Here is an 18,662-nt window from a genome sequence, read left to right as displayed (position 1 = left end):
TCCTGAGCTCAAAGCGATTCGCCCGCCTCAGCCTCCCAAAGTGCTGGGATTACAGGTGTGAGCCACTGCGCCTGTCCAAGGCCCTCTTAATTGGTTTGTTGATGCTATTCAAGAGAGACTGGAAAAATTATGGCCAGGAAACTGCAGAGAGATTCCAAGCCTGGGAGGGGGTGGGACAAATGATGTTTGAACGGTCCTCTGCTATGGGATTCCAGGACCCCAGCACTTTCAGATAGGAAGCTCCTGGGCTTTCAGAAATATTATTTATATCATGGAGTTTCGCTCTGTCACCCAGGCTGGAGTGCAATGGTGGGATCTCGGCTCACTGCAAACTCCAACCTCCAGGTTCAAGTGATTCTCCTGCCTCAGCCTCCCGAGTAGCTGGGATTATAGGCGCCTGACATACGCCTAGCTAATTTTTGTGTTTTTAGTAGAGACCGGCTTTTGCCATGTTGGCCAGGCTGCTCTCGAACTCCTGATCTCAGGTGATCCACCCGCCTTGGCCTCCCAAAGTGCTGGGATTACAGGCAAGAGCCAGTGCGCTCAGCCCTAATTTTTGTGTTTTTAGTAGAAACAGGGTTTCGCCATGTTGGCCAGGCTGGTCTCAAACTCCTGACCTCAGGTGATCCACGCACCTTGGCCTCCCAAAGTGCTGGGATTATAGGTGTGAGCCACCGTGCCCGGCCTGCTTTTTTGTCTTTGAATTCTGTAGATTAGCCAAACCCTTGCGATCTATGCATTAAGCATGAGGTGAGGGTGGAGTGGGCTCCCCGACAGTGTGTGTGCCCTTGTGTGTGCTTGTGAGTGTGGATGCCTACTCCTTAGACTTGCTTATGTCCCCAGAGAGCCAGGACCATCTTGGAGTTTGAGAAAATGTTACCAGAATGGCTGAGGAGCAGATTCCGGATGGGAGAGCTGTGCAAAGTGGCCGAGGATGATTTCCGACTGTGTTTGCGGTAACAAAGGGAGAAGGGCCCTGGGGTGGTGGTCTTTGGGGTGGGTAGAGAGGGGCAGGATGGTGACAGGATGTTAGAGAAACAGTGCCGCCACTTGCTAACCATAACCACAGCTACTGTCTCTTCCAGTGGCCTCCTTGGAAGAAGGAATTTGCTTATGGGGTTGCAGGCCCTGAGATGGGGGTTCCTGAGCTTCAGAAGAGAAAGAGAAGGAGACTGCCAACAGCGGCTCCCCTCTCTGCATTTTTCTTTCTTCTTTTATTTTTTTTTGAGACGGAATTTTGCTCTTGTTGCCCGGGCTGGAGTGCAATGGCGCAATCTTGGCTCATTGCAACCTCCGCCTCCCGGGTTCAAGTGATTCTCCTGCCTCAGCCTCCCGAGTAGCTGGGACTACAGGCATGCGCCACCACCCCTGGCTAATTTTGTATTTTTAGTAGAGGCAGAGTTTCACCATGTTGGTCAAGCTGGTCTCAAACTCCTGACCTCAGGTGATCCACCCACCTTGGCCTCCCAAAGTGCTGGGATTACAGGCATGAGCCACCGCACCCAGCCCCTCTCTCTGCTTTTTTGGAGGTGCCTCCATGGTCTCTCTGTGTTCGCTATCTGGTTTAGGGAAGATCTGCCTGCTGGGTACTCCTTTTCCTGCTGTTTACCCTGTGTGAGTTCCTGTGACCCCGGGTGACTTGAGGCCCCTTTTGCCCCTGGCAGATGGAAAGTGACGTGGCTACTTTGACAGATCTCTGGCTTTTTGCATTTTTTTTTTAAAGTCCTTACATATCCTATGACCACCTTTTCTTTTCTGTTTTTTTAAAAGGAGTTCCAGGCTGGAGTGCAGTGATGCGATCTCTGCTCACTGCAACCTCCGCCTCCCTGGTTGAAGCGATTCTCCTGCCTCAGCCTCCCCGGTAGCTGGGACTGCAGGCATATGCCACCACGCCTGGATAATTTTTGTATTTTTATTAGAGACGAGGTTTCATCACGTTGGCCAGGCTGGTCTTGAATTCCTGGCCTCAAGTGATCCACCCCCCTCGGCCTCCCAAAGTGCTGGGATTACAGGCGTGAGCCACGGTGCCCGGCCCCATGAACACCTTTTCTGATAAGCCCACCTCCTCCTACCCTGACCCAACTGCCTGAGCCTACAGACCACCTTCTCGGAGTATGACCATACCTTAACCCACTTCTCTGACTGAAACCGCGCCCCGTGGAAAGCATCATTTCTGACTGCAATCATTACCCTAACAAACAGTTGTGATGTTGCCACCCTCACTCTAGAGATGTTCTCTGGGTGTGAATTGAAGTCACATCAATGCCTATGGTTGTATTCTAACACCTCAGACGCCACCCACTCTTGTTGGGGCACTGACCCTAACCACAGGCTCTTCGTGCTTCCTCAACCCCTGCTACACTTGGAGTTTAATCTTCACACCCTCGTGGCCCGGGCCCTCCCTCTGTCTGTCCCCGCTTCCCCTTGGGCTGTCACCAGTCAGGCACAGCAGCTGTTGTCTGAAGTTGGACCCTTTACACCTGTCTGGGCAACTTGCAGGATTTCCGAGTTCCCTACAATGGAAGGAGAACTGATTCTCTGAGGCCTGGGGACGTGGAGATGGGGATAGAGTTCAAACTCCAACAACTTTGGTGTGACCCCTCGGGTCAGGGGTGCTCCTGATCTCTAGGACAGACAGAAGGGGAGCTGTGTAGACACCAGGACGTCCCAAACGCAGGGCTATTTGTTAGTACTCAGTGAGGCACTGGTGAAATAGTAAGAATGATTATCACATTTGCAGGATCAATGAGGTGAAGTGGACTGAATGGAAGACGCACGTCTCCTTCCTTAACGAAGACCCGGGGCCTGTAAGACGAACAGGTACTGTCGCTGTGAGGTGACATGGTGTCCGCTCCTGTCTCAGACCATGTAACCTTGGGCAGATCAAGTCTAAGGGTCCTGACTTTCCCCATCTGTCAAATGGGAGGGTTGAATGGAAATGCTTCTTAGGTCTCTTCCAGCTCTGACTTTTAGAACCCTAGTTGGCACAACTTTTAAAATGGCGTAGCCCTAAGCCATAGAAACACATCATGCAGGCCGGGCGCGGTGGCTCGTGCCTGTAATCCCAGCACTTTGGGAGGACGAGTCGGGTGAATCACCTGAGGTCAGGAGTTTGAGACCAGCCTGGCCAACATGGTGACACCTTGTCTCTACTAAAGATACAAAAATTAGCCGAACGTGGTGGCAGGTGCCTATAATCCCAGCTACTCGAGAGGCTGAGTCAGGAGAATTGCTTGAACCTGGGAGGTGGAGGTTGCAGTGAGCTGAGATCACACCACTGCACTGCAGCCTGGGTGACAAGAGGGAAACTCCATCTCAAAAAAGAAAAAAAAGAAAAAGAAAAAAGAAACACACTATGCAGAGTGATATATTTCTAAAATATATATTTTTTTAAAAAGCAGATTTCAACAAAATCCAAGATTCTTCCAGGAACAACAGCAAAACCACTCTCAATGCATTTGAAGAAGTCGAGGAATTCCCGGAAACCTCGGTGTAGAAGCGGAACCCAGAGCTGGTGTGCGCGTGCGCTGTCTGGCGCTGCAGGCGGAGTCACCGACTCTGTGCAGAGAGGCTTTGAGGGATGGTGGAGTCCGGCTCTGCTGGCCTAGAAGCAGAGTGCACCCTCGTGCTCAGTGCTCAGTGGGTGTCTGAACTGAGGGGCAGTTGTCAATTTGTCTGAGTGGGAAACATCCTGGATTTTGTTACTTGGCAAACAGCTGGTGTAAACCTACAGCCAGCAGCAGTCTGGAGCCTGGGAGCCTCCTGAAGTCCCGGGTGAAGCCTCTGGTTTTACCAATTGCAGGTCGGCTTGGCTGGGAGAGATGGATGGCGGGAAAGGGGCAGCAGTCTTGAGGAGCAGGGAGAGGAGTCTTTCCTCCTGCCAGCTTCCCCCGTCAGCCCCAACCCCAGCCCACACATTGTACCATCTCTTCTGCTGTGACTGGGTTGCCTGAATTTGTGGGAGACCCGTGATCCCATCCCAGAGTGTGCGGGGGACGGAGGTAAGCTGGATATCCTGGGGGAGGAGGGGAATGCGCTCTGGAAACACCCTTCCGGAACCCTTCGGGGAAAAGGAGACCATCCTTGGAGTGAACGTCCCCTGACACCCCAAGGTTCAAACTGTCTCAAGCTGAGAGATGTTTTTAGTAGCAGAATTAACACAGGGTTTTAACTTGCAATACGGAAAAGACATTTCAGTTGAGAATGAAAATTACTACAATGAAGTTTGTGATTTTAAAAGTGGAGACAGACTGGGGGCTTTGGGGCTGGATGTAAGTATTATATATTTGGCCTCAGGGTGCCCAGAGCAAGACAAAAAGCTTTTCTTCACACACACAAAAGTCTGCATGAGACACTCCGGGCAAGTCCTGCTGGGCCGCCGCGATCTGGGTGAAAGGTCCTGGCTCTTTTCCTCGTCCTGACCTCACAGTAGCGCGTGCCTGTGTGCTGGGATCGTGGCTTTCGCTGAAGCAGAAATAGCAGCTGCTCGATCGATATCATCTTGGAACTCAGCAGTTAGTCGCATACCTCAGTATGTCTCAGTGGGGGAATTTAACAAAATGCCTCAACTGCTTTGGTACGAAGTATTTTTTTTTTAATTTTAACTGTGAATTTTGAAGCTGAAGGGGAAGCTTGTGAGAGAAAAGCATTTGCCAAGACTTTGAGCTTATTTTTAGGTCCTCGTCCTCTGATGTTCTCTTTCTGAAATGACACGGAGTCAGTCTGGGGGGCAGAGGTGAAGTGGAGACGGAAGGATTTTCCAGGTGACTGGGGCCGAAACCACCAGAAAATCCACTCTGCCGCCGTTATCTGGTGAAAGGATTCATGTAAAAATGTTCGAGGTGGAATTATAAAAATAGTAACCATAAATGTTAATCTTAAATGGCAGAAATAGAAATTTGGCCTTCAGATAACATGGCGATAGATAAGTTCATCTGGCTTGAGGCAAACTGAAGAGTCGGGGCCTAGCAGTGCACTCTGGGCCAGTTTCTCTGCCCTGGGCCACTCTGTGTGCCAGACTAGCTGGACAGATAGAGACTTTGTGCCCCTGATGGGGCCGATTGGGGAGAGGTGGGCTGGGGTGTGTGAGGCTTCACAATCCACAGCAGCCCCTGCCCTCCCAGCTGACCCAGGGAGTAATCGCGTGCTCTAAGCCACAGTGGTCGGGGCTGGGCATGGGCCTCTGGAGAAGAGAAGATTTGAGGAGAACTGTCCTAGAGGCAGGAGGAGCAGATGTGTTTCAGAATGGGCAGAATTAGGAAATTGAGAAAGATTTTGGCTCAACAGAATCCAGCAACTGCTCCAGATGTTGGAGATGTTTAAGCAGAAGCTGGTTGCGCACTTAATGAGGAATGTTGTTGAAAATGGTCATTGGAAGAAGTTTAAGGTCCCTTTTAGCCTGGAGATTGTACAAATCAGCATTCCACATCTGGAGTTAGCTACCCGCATTAAGCCTGAACAGACATCTTGGTCTGAAAGGAAGTGGTTTGGATTCATGATGCCAAGCTCCACACTATGGAGCTGGGAATTCCAGAATTGCTTTGACTCAGATATTAATGGAGAAAGTCATATCCATTAATGGATAAAGCCGTATCTGTTATGGATAAAGCCGTATCCAGAGTTGCTTTGACTCGGATGTTAATGGATAAAGCCAATTATTGATTTCTATTTGCCTAACCTGCCAGCTTTTGTCCAAGTGGGGAATGGAGAGCCATAGGGATGTTTGTCATCTCACATGTTTTGGTGATCTGCTGTCTGTGGGTCTGGATGGAATTTGTTGGCAAGACCATTTTCTGTATTGGATATTCTTCCCAACAGTGTCCACCCCAAAAGGCTTTCAGCCAAAACGTCTGAGCCTAGGTAGGTTTACCAAGGGAAGCCATAAGTCAAGAAGCATCAGAGTGAAAAGGAGCACTTCCTTCATTTTACGCCCAGAGGCTAATGCTCCGAGAGGAATGTGTACTTGGGCAAAGTCATGCAGGAAGGTCATATCAGAGCTGTGGAGGCTGGAGTGTCCTGATTCTTGGACCACAGATGTCTCCCTGAGCCATTATTTATTTATTTTTAAAAAGCACAGTTATTCCATCATTTTGAGTCTTTGTATTTCGCTTATATTGGGGGGCAGGACTATTTTCTCAGGTGTCTCATTTGGCAGTCAACATTGTCCCCTATGTTCCCTATGACTAGTTGAAAATTCAAGTGTGCCCACAGGGGTGCACAAAACCACACCCATGCACACACACACCCTCAGCCCCCACACACACCCCGTTGAACCCGTGGGTCTATCAGGACATCCTAAAACTCCGTGATTGACATTTCAGTAATTTCAGGGGAAGGTGTTTTCCAGGGATGGGGTCTCCCAGGTTCAGATAGTGCCTTTGGCTGCAAATGCTCCTTTAGCTAAACTTTTCCTCAGGAAGAATTCATTATTCTAGACATTATGTGATATATCTGTTAGGAATAAAAGGTGCTTAACCTTCCTCCCTGGGATGTGGGAGAAGGTGCTGGAGGTTGTACTGTGAAGTCTTCAGGCTCTTAGAAGGCTCCAGCCTGAGAGAGCCCTTTATTATTGACATTCCTGTCCTTCCTCAAGGCCTGGTGACCTGTGACCTTTCGCTCTGGGCAGGGCCCAGGTAGATGGGCCGTCATCCGGGCCTGTAAGCCGTACTTGATTTCTGCATTGATTTACATATTTTTTACTGTGATCTTGGTTCCAAACACAGAATCGTCACCCCATTCTCCCTTGAATGTGCCGGATCCTTGTAAATTCTCATTTACCTACTTGTTCTTAGTGTGTATGTGTGTGCGAAACTCTATGTTCAAGAAAGAAATCATACAAAGAGTAAGAACATGTTTGTGCCATTGAAGAAATGGTTTTTTGATTTCTAATAAATATTTGTTTTGCCTCGTTATGGCCACGTTTTATCCTTGCGTTAGGTGTGCCAATGTGCAGATTGACTAGAAACCCTAGAGTGTTGTTAACAGGAGTGGGTAAAGGGAAGGCCCGTTTTTGGACCTGAAGCATTATCATTGGTTCCGGCTTAGGAACAGAGCCAGCAAGCCATAAGGCATGTCACCTTTGTACGTATTTGCATCTCAAAGCGCATTCACATCAGGTAGTCAATTCGAACCACTCAGCAGCTTTGGAAGCAGTTTCAATAAAAGGAGACTCACGGGCTTGAAGTGATGTGCCCAGGGATTCACAGCCACATAATGTCAGTGGTTCAGGCCATGAAAGCCCTCAAAGAGTGCTCTATCCACTTCTGCACAGCAAAACAAACTACCATCAGAGTGAACAGGCAACCTACAGAATAGGAAAAAATTTTTGCCATCTACCCATCTGACAAAGGTCTAATATCCAGAATTTACAAGTAACTTAAACATATTTACAAGAAAAAAACAACCCCATCAAAAAGTGGGCAAAGGATATGAACAGACACTTCTCAAAAGAAGACATTTACGTGGCCAACAAACATATGAAAAAAAGCTCATCATCACTGGTCATTAGAGAAATGCAAATCAAAACCACAGTGAGATACCATCTCACGCCAGTCAGAATGGCGATTATTAAAAAGTCAGGAAACAATAGATGCTGGAGAGGCTGTGGAGAAATAGGAACACTTTTACACTGTTGGTGGGAATGCAAATTAGTTCAACAATTGAGGAAGACAGTATGGCGATTCCTCAAAGATCCACAACCAGAAATACCATTTGACCCAGCAATCCCATTACTGAGTATACACCCAAAGGAATGTAAATCATTCTACTATAAAGACACATGCACATATATGTTTATTGCAGCACTATTTACAATAGCAAAGACATGGAACCAACCCAAATGCCCATCAATGATAGACTGGATAAAGAAAATGTGTTATATCTACACCACGGAATACTATACAGCCATAAAAAGGAATGAGATCATGTCTTTTGTAGGAACATGGATGAAGCTGGAAGCCATCATCCTCAGCAAACTAACACAGGAACAGAAAACCAAACACCACATGTTCTCACTCATAAGTGGAATTGAACATTGAGAACATATGGACACAGAGACGGGAACAACACACACCAGGGCCTGTTGGGGGGTAGGGGGTGAGGGGAGGGAACTTAGAGGATGGATCAATAGGTGCAGCAAAGCACCATGGCACACGTATACCTATGTAACAAACCTGCATGTTCTGCACCTGTATCCCCCCCTTTTTTTTTTGGAAGAAATAAAAAAAATGAGGGCTCTATCCATCATGGCTGTTGGCTGTCAAATTATTTTGAGTGAATAGAAACCCATGGTTCCACCTGGAGAACAGAAGGTATAAATCCCTCCTGTCCACCACGCAGGCTTTTCACAAGGAGGCAATGAGAGAATAGATAGGAAAGAGCTGATGTTCTTACTATCATTATTGCCGATCAGCCTAATTCATAGGTATATTCAGTTCTTCATTCCTTTGAGTGATTTCATAAGGATGGCAGTTCTTAACTTGAATGCCAAGTCTTTTTTTTTTTTTTTTTTTTTTTTATACTTTAAGCTTTAGGGTACATGTGTACGATGTGCAGGTTAGTTACATATGTATACATGTGCCATGCTGGTGCGCTGCACCCATTAACTCGTCATTTAGCATTAGGTATTTCTCCTAATGCTATCCCTCCCCCCTCCCCCCACCCCACAACAGTCCCCAGAGTGTGATGTTCCCCTTCCTGTGTCCATGTGTTCTCATTGTTCAATTCCCATCTATGAGTGAGAACATGCGGTGTTTGGTTTTTTGTCCTTGCGATAGTTTACTGAGAATGATGATTTCCAATTTCATCCATGTCCCTACAAAGGACATGAACTCATCATTTTTTATGGCTGCATAGTATTCCATGGTGTATATGTGCCACATTTTCTTTATCCAGTCTATCATTGTTGGACATCTGGGTTGGTTCCAAGTCTTTGCTGTTGTGAATAGTGCCGCAATAAACATACGTGTGCATGTGTCTTTATAGCAGCATGATTTATAGTCCGTTGGGTATATACCCAGTCATGGGATGGCTGGGTCAAATGGTATTTCTAGTTCTAGATCCCTGAGGAATCGCCACACTGACTTCCACAATGGTTGAACTAGTTTACAGTCCCACCAACAGTGTAAAAGTGTTCCTATTTCTCCACATCCTCTCCAGCACCTGTTGTTTCCTGACTTTTTAATGATTGCCATTCTAACTGGTGTGAGATGGTATCTCATTGTGGTTTTGATTTGCATTTCTCTGATGGAATGCCAAGTCTTGACTGCTTGTCTTGATGGGTTGTGGAACTTGCAACCAATTTGTTAATAAGTGAAATACTGCATTTGGTGAATTATTTACTTAATTCAGATGATTCCCAGAATAACTTCCTTCACTGGGATGTATCTTGTTGAGTGGCAGCAAGACAGGGATTGTACGTGATTCACATCCTAGCTTAATAGGCGTTAGTCCAAAACCTAGGAATGTGCCATCCATGGGGATGTTTTGGGTGGACGGGTAGAAAAAGGGTGGAAACCCTTGTCATAGGATATATTTCTGGGAAGGAGATGCCTAGGTCAATTGGTTTCAACATTTTTATGGTTCTTGATACTCTGAGAAATTACCTCCCCAAAGGATTCCTTCAATGCGTTCAGCCTTTGAGATTGTATGCTACACTGTTTACAAAGCTCTTCCGGTCATGTTGGTTATTGTTTTGTAGGTTTGGTGAGTGTCGTATCCCAGTTTAATAGGTAGGGAAATCGAGACTTGGAGACAGACGGAATGACATGCGAAGTTCACAATCCTTTCTCCTGGCTGGAGGATCCAGGTTCTCTGAAGTTTAGTTAGTCTAGTATCAAGAACTACCATTTTTCTCACTGCACCAGCAACCCCTCTGACAGTAACAGCAAAGTTCTGCAGAAAGGATTCAGTCCAACTCAAAAAATGTATCTCACTTACTATGTGTGAAGATTTAGAACCAATTCAACAAAAATTGAACATGAAGTATGGGCAATGATAGATGATACAAATATAAGTAAGACAGTTTCTTCCATTTAAGATGGTGGTAGGAGGGGAGAAGGACATGAATATTTATAAAGTGCCATGCACTTTACATACATGTCTCATTTAATGTTTATAGCAACCCTTGTTACTGTCCAGCTGTTCTATTTCTTTCATCGGTTTTCTGTTTTATTTTTTAAAACCATCATATTTTGTTATTTCAAAACCATCATACTTCTTAAACCTGTGACCCCACCATTTCCATATCAATAGCTGTAGTAGGTTTTATCCCTTATTTTACAGTGAAAATGGAAGCCATAAGTTGGAAACACCTTCAACTTGTGACCACCAAACCTGTGAATTTATTTGCACCCACATTCCTAAGCTTTGGTTGCCTTCGCCTCCCCACTCCCTCCTCCCCTCCCTCCCTTCCTCCCTCCCTTCCTTCTCTTTTCCTTCTCTCTCTCTTTCTCTCTCTCTCTTTTTCTGTCTTTCCGACAGAGTCTTGCCTTGTCACCCAGGCTGAAGTGCAATGGCATGATCTCGGCTCACTGCAACCTCCACCTCCCGGCTTCAAGCAATTCTCCTGCCTCAGCCTCACAAGTAGCTGGGACTACAGGCACCCGCCACCAAGCCCAGGTAATTTTTTGTATTTTTAGTAGAGACGGGGTTTCACCATGTTGGCCAGGCTGGTCTCAAACTCCTGACCTCAGGTGATCCACCTGCCTCGGCCTCCCGACGTGCTGGGATTACAGGTCCCTGTGCGTGGCCCTGCCTTTCACTTAGAGCAAGAAAACTCCTGTCTAGGGACCTCTCTCTATGCTCTCTATGCTCTTGAGCTTTCTTATGTTTCAAGACTGTGAAAGTTATTCTTTCCCTTAATATGTAGTTTCTAAAAATGACGTTTTTCTGTTAAACATTTAGTCTATCTGTAGCTAATGGGGCTTTAGTATTTTTTTCCCCTTAATTATACTACATTAATCCCCTATAGACCTCAGTTTTTTGGTTGACTTTGTTTGCTAGTCAAGTTCCTGTTCTTTTCTTGGCAGAATGGGGGAAACTTTAGTGCTGTTTTTGCTTTGATGGGATGTAAGCTTCTGGGCTGTGCCATTGACTTTGTGGTGTGTGCAGGTACCTCCCTGGAGTTTCATATTGTGCAACCCACCAAGCCTGATGGGGCAGCCCTGGGCGAAGTCCTCTCTGAGTGACCCTCTCAGTCATCGGCTTGGTAGGTGTTCAGGAACTACTGTCTGCCAAGTACTAGACTAGGGTTTTTGGTGTGTCTGCTTTGGGAACAGGCATACAAAGGTCTCTACAGGTAGATCACAAGCCTCTTGAAGGCAGTATGTGTGGGAAGTATAGAGATATTAGAAAAGCAGCCGGGCATGGTGGCTCACGCCTGTAATCCCAGCACTTTGGGAGGCCAAGGTGGGCGGATCACCTGAGGTCAGGAGTTCGAGACCAGCCTGACCAATATGATGAAACCCCATCTCTACTAAAAATATAAAAATTAGCCAGGCTTGCTGGCGCATGCCTGTAATCTCAACTACCCAGGAGGCTGAGGCACGAGAATCGCTGGAACCCGGGAGGCAGAGGCTACAGTGAGCGGAGATCATGCCACTGTACTGCAGCCTGGGTGACAGAGTGAGACTCCGTCTCAAAAACAAAAAAAAAAAAACAAAAAACAACAAACAAACAAAAAACCCCTAAGCAGCTATTTCCCTCCAGACTCTGTTTTTGTCGGATATGCAAATATGGGCCTTCAGACGCTCCCTGGTCCTGCTGCCCTGGAACATCCATGACCCGTATAGGCCTCTCTCCCTGGTCACCCCCATGGGACTCTCAGGCTTCAGGGTTTCCCCAGCTGCCACTTTTCATTTGCTCCTCCTATTGGAGCACTGCCTGTATGTGGTTCACCATTCCCACTCTCTGTGGTCTCCAGTGGCTATCTTGGGGTCACCCTTGTGAGGGAAGTGACAACCCGCTCTTCCAAAGAAGCCCTTCCAGATAGCTTCACACTCAGCAGAGCAACTCTCATTTATCCAGCAAAACGCACTGAGCTCCTTCTATGCGTGAAGTGCTGTGTGTACGACAAAGAATAAGACAAATGCTATCCCTGCTTTCTTGGAGCTTTTGCAGTTTAATCAGAGACAGACAATAACTTCACCTGCCCCGGTGTCATAAAGCATTACGGTTGCAATTTGGGTAAGTGCCAGTCTAGTACTGGCAATGAGCTTGTATAACAGAGTGGCCTAACCTAGCCTGAGTCATGTTTAAGAGTAGCGTCATTTAGCTAATGGAAGTGTGGAGATGGGGAAGCGTTTCAGTAAGTGGGAAAATGTGGGCAAAGGTGGTAGGGAACTTTGTGCATCTGAGGACTGGAGAAGTCTTATGTGGCCAAATTGCTGGGAGCAAGGGGCCAAGTGACATGAAATAAGGCTAGAGGGGTGGGCAGAGGCCAGTGCATGTAGGACTTGGACAGCCGTGGTGAGGCTTTGAGATCTCATAACAAGGGTAAGAAGCCACCAAAGGATTGTAAACAGGGGAATTGTTGAGTGTGAACATTTCCTTGTTTTAGCCTGGTGCGGCGGCTCCTGCCTGTAATCCCAGCACTCTTGGAGGCCGAGGTGGGTGGATCATCTGAGTTCGGGGGTTCGAGACCAGCCTGACCAACATGGAGAAACCCCGTCTCTACTAAAAAAATACAAAATTAGCCAGGCGTGGTGGCGCATGCCTATAATCCCAGCTACTCAACAGGCTGAGGCGGCAGAATCGCTTGAACCCAGGAGGCAGAGGTTGCGGTGAGCCGAGATCATGCCATTGCTCTCCAGCTTGGGCAGCAAGAGTGAAACTCCATCTCAAAAAAAAAAAAAAAAAAAAGAAAAGAAAATTTCCTTTTTTTTTTCCCATGGATTTGCAGACTTAAATGGTTGTTTTTTCCTTCCACTGTCCTTTGGGACATAGTAACAGTCTGGAGGGTGTAAAACGAAGTGTTTCACTTGGGAGTGATGGGGACAGTTCTCAGGAGGTGACTGGGAAGGAAGATAAAAAGAAAGGCAGGGCCATTGGTGGAAGATGAAGATGTTCCAGTAGAGAAGGGATGTTTGAGCATGCTCATTTATTCAACTCACCTCTATTGGTCACTTTCTAGATTGTAGACATCGAAAAAGACACTGCTGATGCCCTCAAGATGGGATAGAAGGAGGGGCAAAGTGGCAACAAAGTCAGGTCGACGAAGACCATGTTGGCTATGAAATGAAAGTTGGGTTGCATTTTGAAGGAGAAAAAGGCATTATTGGCTAGAGCGCAGTCTGAGGTGGGGTGGGAGGTGGAGGACAGTGGGGGAGAGTTCTGGGTAGGGGAGTCAGTCTATGTAAAGGCCTAGAGGAATAAACAGTGGGAAGGACACTGGAGTGGAGATGGCCCAAAGGGAGATGAGTGTAGGGAGGCGTCGGGGAGGGAGGGCAGATCAGGAAGGGCCTTTTGTGCTAGGAATTTGAACTTCAGTGATTTGTTAAGTATGTATTCTGTGCTAAGCACTGAGCTAAGTGCTTATATGTCTTAGCCCACTTAATCCTCACAGTAACCCCATGAAAGGGGCACTATTATTATTATCATTCCCATTTTATAAATGAGAAAAATGCAAATGTAGATTGTTAGAAATAATCAAAGTAAAATAAAACTCAAAGTGGCTAAAACCACACAGCAATATGTTATAGATTAAAAACAAACAAACCAACCACACATCTAATTAGAAACTTTAAAGACTGTAAAAGGGAAGATTAGACTTGATAGGAATAATCAACCCTGAAACCCACTGAAACCACAGTGATATAAATTGTACACTGTAAATTTTACAAATAACTAAAATTTGAGGGAAGAATATTCTTGCCAAAATTTTCATCTGGAAAAAGCTGACCTAGAAAAATTGGACTCAGAAATAGGACACAACGGAACATTCACAGCAGGAGAAGGAAGCTTGGTAAATCTTATGTACAAAAGCTGATAAATCACATTTTTACTACAGAATTCAGAAGGAAGAGAGTTTATTCCAATGTAAATAATTTTGGTAAAGTACAAAAATAGAAAAAAATGCTGAAAAATTTAGAAAGAATATGGGCTTTCCAGAACACTGAGTATGGAGTAAAACTGGCATAGTGGGGTTCACTTTGGAAGAATGAAAATGTATAAATATATAATATTTATTCATTCATTCATTCATTCATTCATTCCAGATAATGTTAGTATTTTTGGTAAATACATTTGAAACTATGATTATGGATTCATTGGGGGTACAGATCATGGAATAAAAACACTCTTTATTGGCTGCTGTGGCCTAAGAGGATGGCGGGGAGGGCCCTGGTGGGGCTGGAGAGGGAGGGGGCGGCGTCCAGCAGAAGGTCCTTTGAGGAGAAGAATCATGGGAGGCAAGGGGTTTGGGCATTTAGGACATGGCAGGACTTCTTGAAAGACTGTATTTGCAAACCATAGCTGTGGGTCACATTTCTATGTGTGTCCAGTGCCCTGTTGTTGACTTTCACCACCTCTGCTGGCAACAGCTGGAGCCCAAAGACCTCCTCACACCTTGCCTGCGAATAAGGGTGGGCATATTCTTTCAAAATGAGAAGTGACAGCTGTGAAGAATAGGCCTCTTCCAAATTTTCCATGTTGGGAAGAAACATTAGCTCCTCAGGGGGTGCGTGAGGTGTCTGAAGGAGGTTCTCTGCTCCATGAGGTCAGTGCAGAGCAGTGGGCATGCCACAGTAGCAATGCTGTGTGGGTTACTGTTTGTGGACAAAGGGCCATTCAGTTTCTTAATATAGTCATATGTCATCTTTACCATTAAGCCCTTGTTTCTCTTTCATATTTCATCTACAAAACAGCACTTAAAAGTCTCCTCTGGATTTCGCAACGAATGCTGAAGTTTATAGACTGGACGCTTAGTATATTACCATTAACCCAAATATAAAAATTGAAAAAAATAGCAATTCTGCACAACTCATTTCTACTAGCACTTATACATTACAGGCATACCTCAGAGATATTTCAGCCTTGGCTCCAGATCACCACAATAAAACAAACATTATAACAGATGAGCCACACATATTTTTTGATTTTCCAGTACGTGTAAAAGTTATGCTCACACTATATGTAGTATGTTAAATGTGTAATAGCATTATATCTAAAACATGTACATTCCTTCATTAAAAATGCTTTATTGCTAAAAAAGCTAACCATCATTTGAGCTTTCAGCAATTCATGATCTTTTTGCTGGTGGAGGGCCTTGCCTTGATGATGGCTGCCTGATCAGGGTGGTTGGGCACTGAGGGTTGGGATGGCCGTGACAATTTCTTAAAATAAAACAACAAGTTCGCTGCATTGATTGACTCTTCCTTTCGTGAAAGATTTCTCTGTAGCATGAAATGCTGTTTAATAACATTTTATTCACAGTAGAACTCATTTTTTTTTTTTTTTTTTTTTTGAGATGGAGGCTTGCTGTGTCCACCAGGCTGGAGTGCAGTGGCGCAGTCTTGGCTTACTGCAACCTCTGCCTCCTGGGTTCAAGTGATCCTTCTGCCTCAGCCTCCCAAGTAGCTGGGACTACAGGCACGTGCCACCACGCCTGGCTAATATGTTGGTATTTTTAGTAGAGAGGGGGTTTCACCATGTTGGCCAGGCTGGTCTCGAACTCCTTACCTCAGGTGCTCTGTCTGCCTTGGCCTCCCAAAGTGCTAGGACGACAGGCATGAGCCACTTCTCCCAGCCGAACTCATTTCAAAATAGGAGTCAATCCTCTTAAACCCTGCTGCTGCTTTATCAACTATGTTTACGTAATATTCTAAATCCTTTGTCATTTCAACAGTGTTCACAGCATCTGCAACAAGAGTTGATTGCAGCCAAGAAACCACTTTTTTGCTCATTTATAAGAAGCGACTCCTCATCCATTCAAGTGTGATCATGAGATTGCAGCAGTTCAGTTACATCTTCAGGCTCCACTTCTCATTCTCTTGCTGTACATCTGCATGACTTCCTTTACTCAAGTCTCGAATTCCTCAGAGTCATCCAAGAGGGTTGGAATTCACTTTTTCCAAACTCCTGTTAATGTTGATATTTTGATCTCCTCCCACGGATCCTGAATGTTCTTAATGGCATCTGGAATGCTGAATCCTTTCCAGAGGTTTTCTGTTTACTTTGCCCAGCTCCATCAGAGGAATCACTATCTATGGCAGCTATAGCCTTATGAAATGATTTTTTTCTTCCTTTCTTTTTTTTCTTTTTTCTCCCCTCCCCCAGCCTGAAATGTATTTCTTAAATAGTTAGATTTGAAAGTCACAATGACGCCTTGATCCATGGGCTTCGGCTGGATGTCGTGGTAGCAGGCGCGAAAACAATGCTAATCTCTTCGCACATCTCCAGCAGAGCTCTTGGGTAACATGGTGTATTGTCAATCAGCAGTAGTATTTTGAAAGGAATTTTTTTTTTTCCCAAGCAGTAGGTCTCAACAGTGGGCTTAAAATATACAGTAAACCATGCCGCAAACAGATGTGCTGCCAGCGAGGCTTTGTTGTTCCATTTATAGAGCTCAGACACAGCAGGTTTAGCATCAGTCTTCAGAGTCCTACGATTTTTGGGCCGGGCGTGGTGGCTCATGCCTGTAATCCCAGCACTTTGGGAGGCCGAGGCAGGCGGATCATGAGGTCAGGAGATCGAGACCATCCTGGCTAGCAGAGTGAAACCCCATCTCTACTAAAAAAATGCAAAAAATTAGCCGGGCGTGGTGGCAGGCACCTGTAATCTCAGCTACTGGGGAGGCTGAGGCAGGAGAATGGCATGAACCTGGGAGGCGGAGCTTGCAGTGAGCCGAGATTGCGCCACTGCACTCCAGCCTGGACGACAGAGCAAGACTCCGTCTCAAAAAAAAAACAAAAAACAAGAGTTTTAGGATTTTTGAAACAGTTAATGAGCTTTGGCTTTAACCCAAAGTCACCAGCTGTGTTAGCTCTTAAGAGAGTCAGGCTGTCCTTTGAAGCTTTGAAGCTAGGCATTCATTTCTCCCCTCTAGCTAGGAAAGTCCTAGATAGCATCTTCTTCCAATAGAAGGCTGTTTCAACTACACTGAAGATCCGTTGTTTAGTGTAGCCATCTTTGTCAATGATTTTAGCTACATCTTCTGGATAACTTGCTACAGCTTCCACATCAGCAACTTGCTGGTTCGCTTTCCACTTGTAGGTTTTAGAGCTGTCTTCTTTCCTTAAACCTTGTGAACCAACCTCTCCCAGCTTCCTGCAGCTTCCTCACCTCTCTCAGCCTTCACAGAATTGAAGAGAGTTAGGGCCTTGCTGTGGGTCATGCTTTGGCTTAATGTGTGGCTGGTTTGATCTTCTATCCAGACCACTAAAACTGTCTCCATATCAGCAATAAGGTTGTTTTGCTTTCTTATCATTTGTGTGTGTGCACTGGAGTAGAATTTTTAATTTTCTTCAAGATCCTTTTCTTTGAATTCACAACTTGGCTAACCAGTGCAAGAGGCCTAGCTTTCAGCCTGTCTCAGCTTTTGACATGCCTTCCTTACTAAGCTTAATTTCTAGAAGTATGACCCTTTCTTTCACTTGAACACACAGAGTCTGCTGTAGACTTATTAATTATTGTGTCTCAAGGAACAGGGAGGCCAGAGGACAGGGAGAGAGACAAGGAAATGGCCGGTCAGTAGAGCAGTTAGAACTCACACAACATTCACTAAGTTCGCAGTCTCACATGGGCACGATTCATGGTGCCCCAAAACACTTAACAACAGTAACATCAAAGGCCACTGATCACAGATCACCATAGCAGATATAATAAATAAATCATAAAAAAGCTTGAAATATTATCAAAGGGTGACACAGAGACAAGGAGTGAGCACATGCTGTTGGAAACATGGCACTGTTAGACTTTCTAGACACAGGGTTGCCAAAAACCTTCAATTTGGAAAAAAAGTACAAGTACAGTATCCGTGAAGTGTAGTAAGGCAAAGCACAATAAAACAAATAACTTTATATATATCTATTTCAATTTTATATTCTGAATACAAAGGCTGTTTATTAAGAATGTTGAGCTACCCAAGTATCATGTATAATAAACTATATAGAAATAGGAAACACTTCTTTGAATAAGCTACATACATAAAATATGATATCTTTAAAGATATATTAATTAATTTAAGAAATGTGCTTAGATGCCTACCGAATAAGGCACTGTGCTAGGAGCTATGTATGCAGTTGAATAAGGCACAACCCTACTCTTAAGGAGCTTACAGACTAGCAGAATTTGTAAGACACCGTGTAAGATGTAAGCTGGAAGTGATTTCTAATGTAAACAGCAGCGAATACTTTTTGCATTGAGCGTTAGTTTAGTTGTCTTTGCAAAAGCTTCTTTCTTTTCGTAATATGCGGCCTCATTCACAAACACGGGGTACACGGTACAGTCTCCGCCCAGTGGGATCGTCTTCCCATCAAGAGTTAAAAACATGGGATCCCCAGGATGCAGTGGTTTCCAGTCTTGATCCTCTCAGGAAACAATCAAAATAAATATATTATATTTGGTTTTTCTCCTCTAAAAATTTATGTCAGACTCTAGACAACTAACAAATTACAGTATTCTGTTGTTTTAAAAGAGATACTTGAGCGAGGCATTGAGATGCAGGC

The 18,662-nt window shown here is 45.3% G+C and overlaps 3 protein-coding genes across 7 annotated transcripts in view, besides 1 other annotated feature; 2 read left to right on the top strand and 1 right to left on the bottom strand.

The window, feature by feature from the left end:
* Positions 1-6,911, top strand: part of TRPV3 (transient receptor potential cation channel subfamily V member 3) — a 47,311-nt gene extending 40,400 nt beyond the window's left edge. The window contains exons 16-18 of one of the 2 annotated variants that reach the window (NM_145068.4): positions 844-956; positions 2,741-2,820; positions 3,402-6,911. In NM_145068.4, the coding sequence (NP_659505.1) occupies positions 844-956; positions 2,741-2,820; positions 3,402-3,496 (288 nt within the window). In that variant the 3' untranslated portion in view covers positions 3,497-6,911. Of the gene's footprint in view, positions 1-843; positions 957-2,740; positions 2,821-3,398 lie in introns of both variants that reach the window. The other variant, NM_001258205.2, reaches the window with a different exon arrangement.
* The window catches only part of SPATA22 (spermatogenesis associated 22), a 73,840-nt gene continuing 58,732 nt past the window's right edge, over positions 3,555-18,662 (top strand). For both annotated transcript variants that reach the window (NM_001321336.2, NM_001321337.2), the window contains exon 1: positions 3,555-4,001. The gene's annotated coding sequence lies outside the window, so the exon portion shown is untranslated. The remainder of the gene's footprint in view (positions 4,002-18,662) is intronic.
* Positions 6,876-7,414: an enhancer, noted in NCBI's record as "OCT4-NANOG hESC enhancer chr17:3413293-3413831 (GRCh37/hg19 assembly coordinates)". NCBI's record gives its function as "activates a minimal SCP1, AML or CMV promoter by ChIP-STARR-seq in primed H9 embryonic stem cells {active_cell/tissue: H9 hESC(primed)}" and the evidence as "EXISTENCE:reporter gene assay evidence [ECO:0000049][PMID:30033119]".
* The window catches only part of ASPA (aspartoacylase), a 29,296-nt gene continuing 24,641 nt past the window's right edge, over positions 14,008-18,662 (bottom strand). For 2 of the 3 annotated variants that reach the window (XM_017024661.2, NM_000049.4), the window contains one exon: positions 14,008-18,522. In XM_017024661.2, the coding sequence (XP_016880150.1) occupies positions 18,325-18,522 (198 nt within the window). In that variant the 3' untranslated portion in view covers positions 14,008-18,324. 3 annotated transcript variants of the gene reach the window in all.

Source organism: Homo sapiens, chromosome 17 (assembly GCF_000001405.40).
Source record: "Homo sapiens chromosome 17, GRCh38.p14 Primary Assembly".
In the NCBI taxonomy this organism is placed as follows: Eukaryota; Metazoa; Chordata; class Mammalia; order Primates; family Hominidae; genus Homo; species Homo sapiens.
The sequence above is the reverse complement of the archived record's forward strand: the minus strand, read 5'-3'. Positions and strand labels throughout refer to the sequence as shown.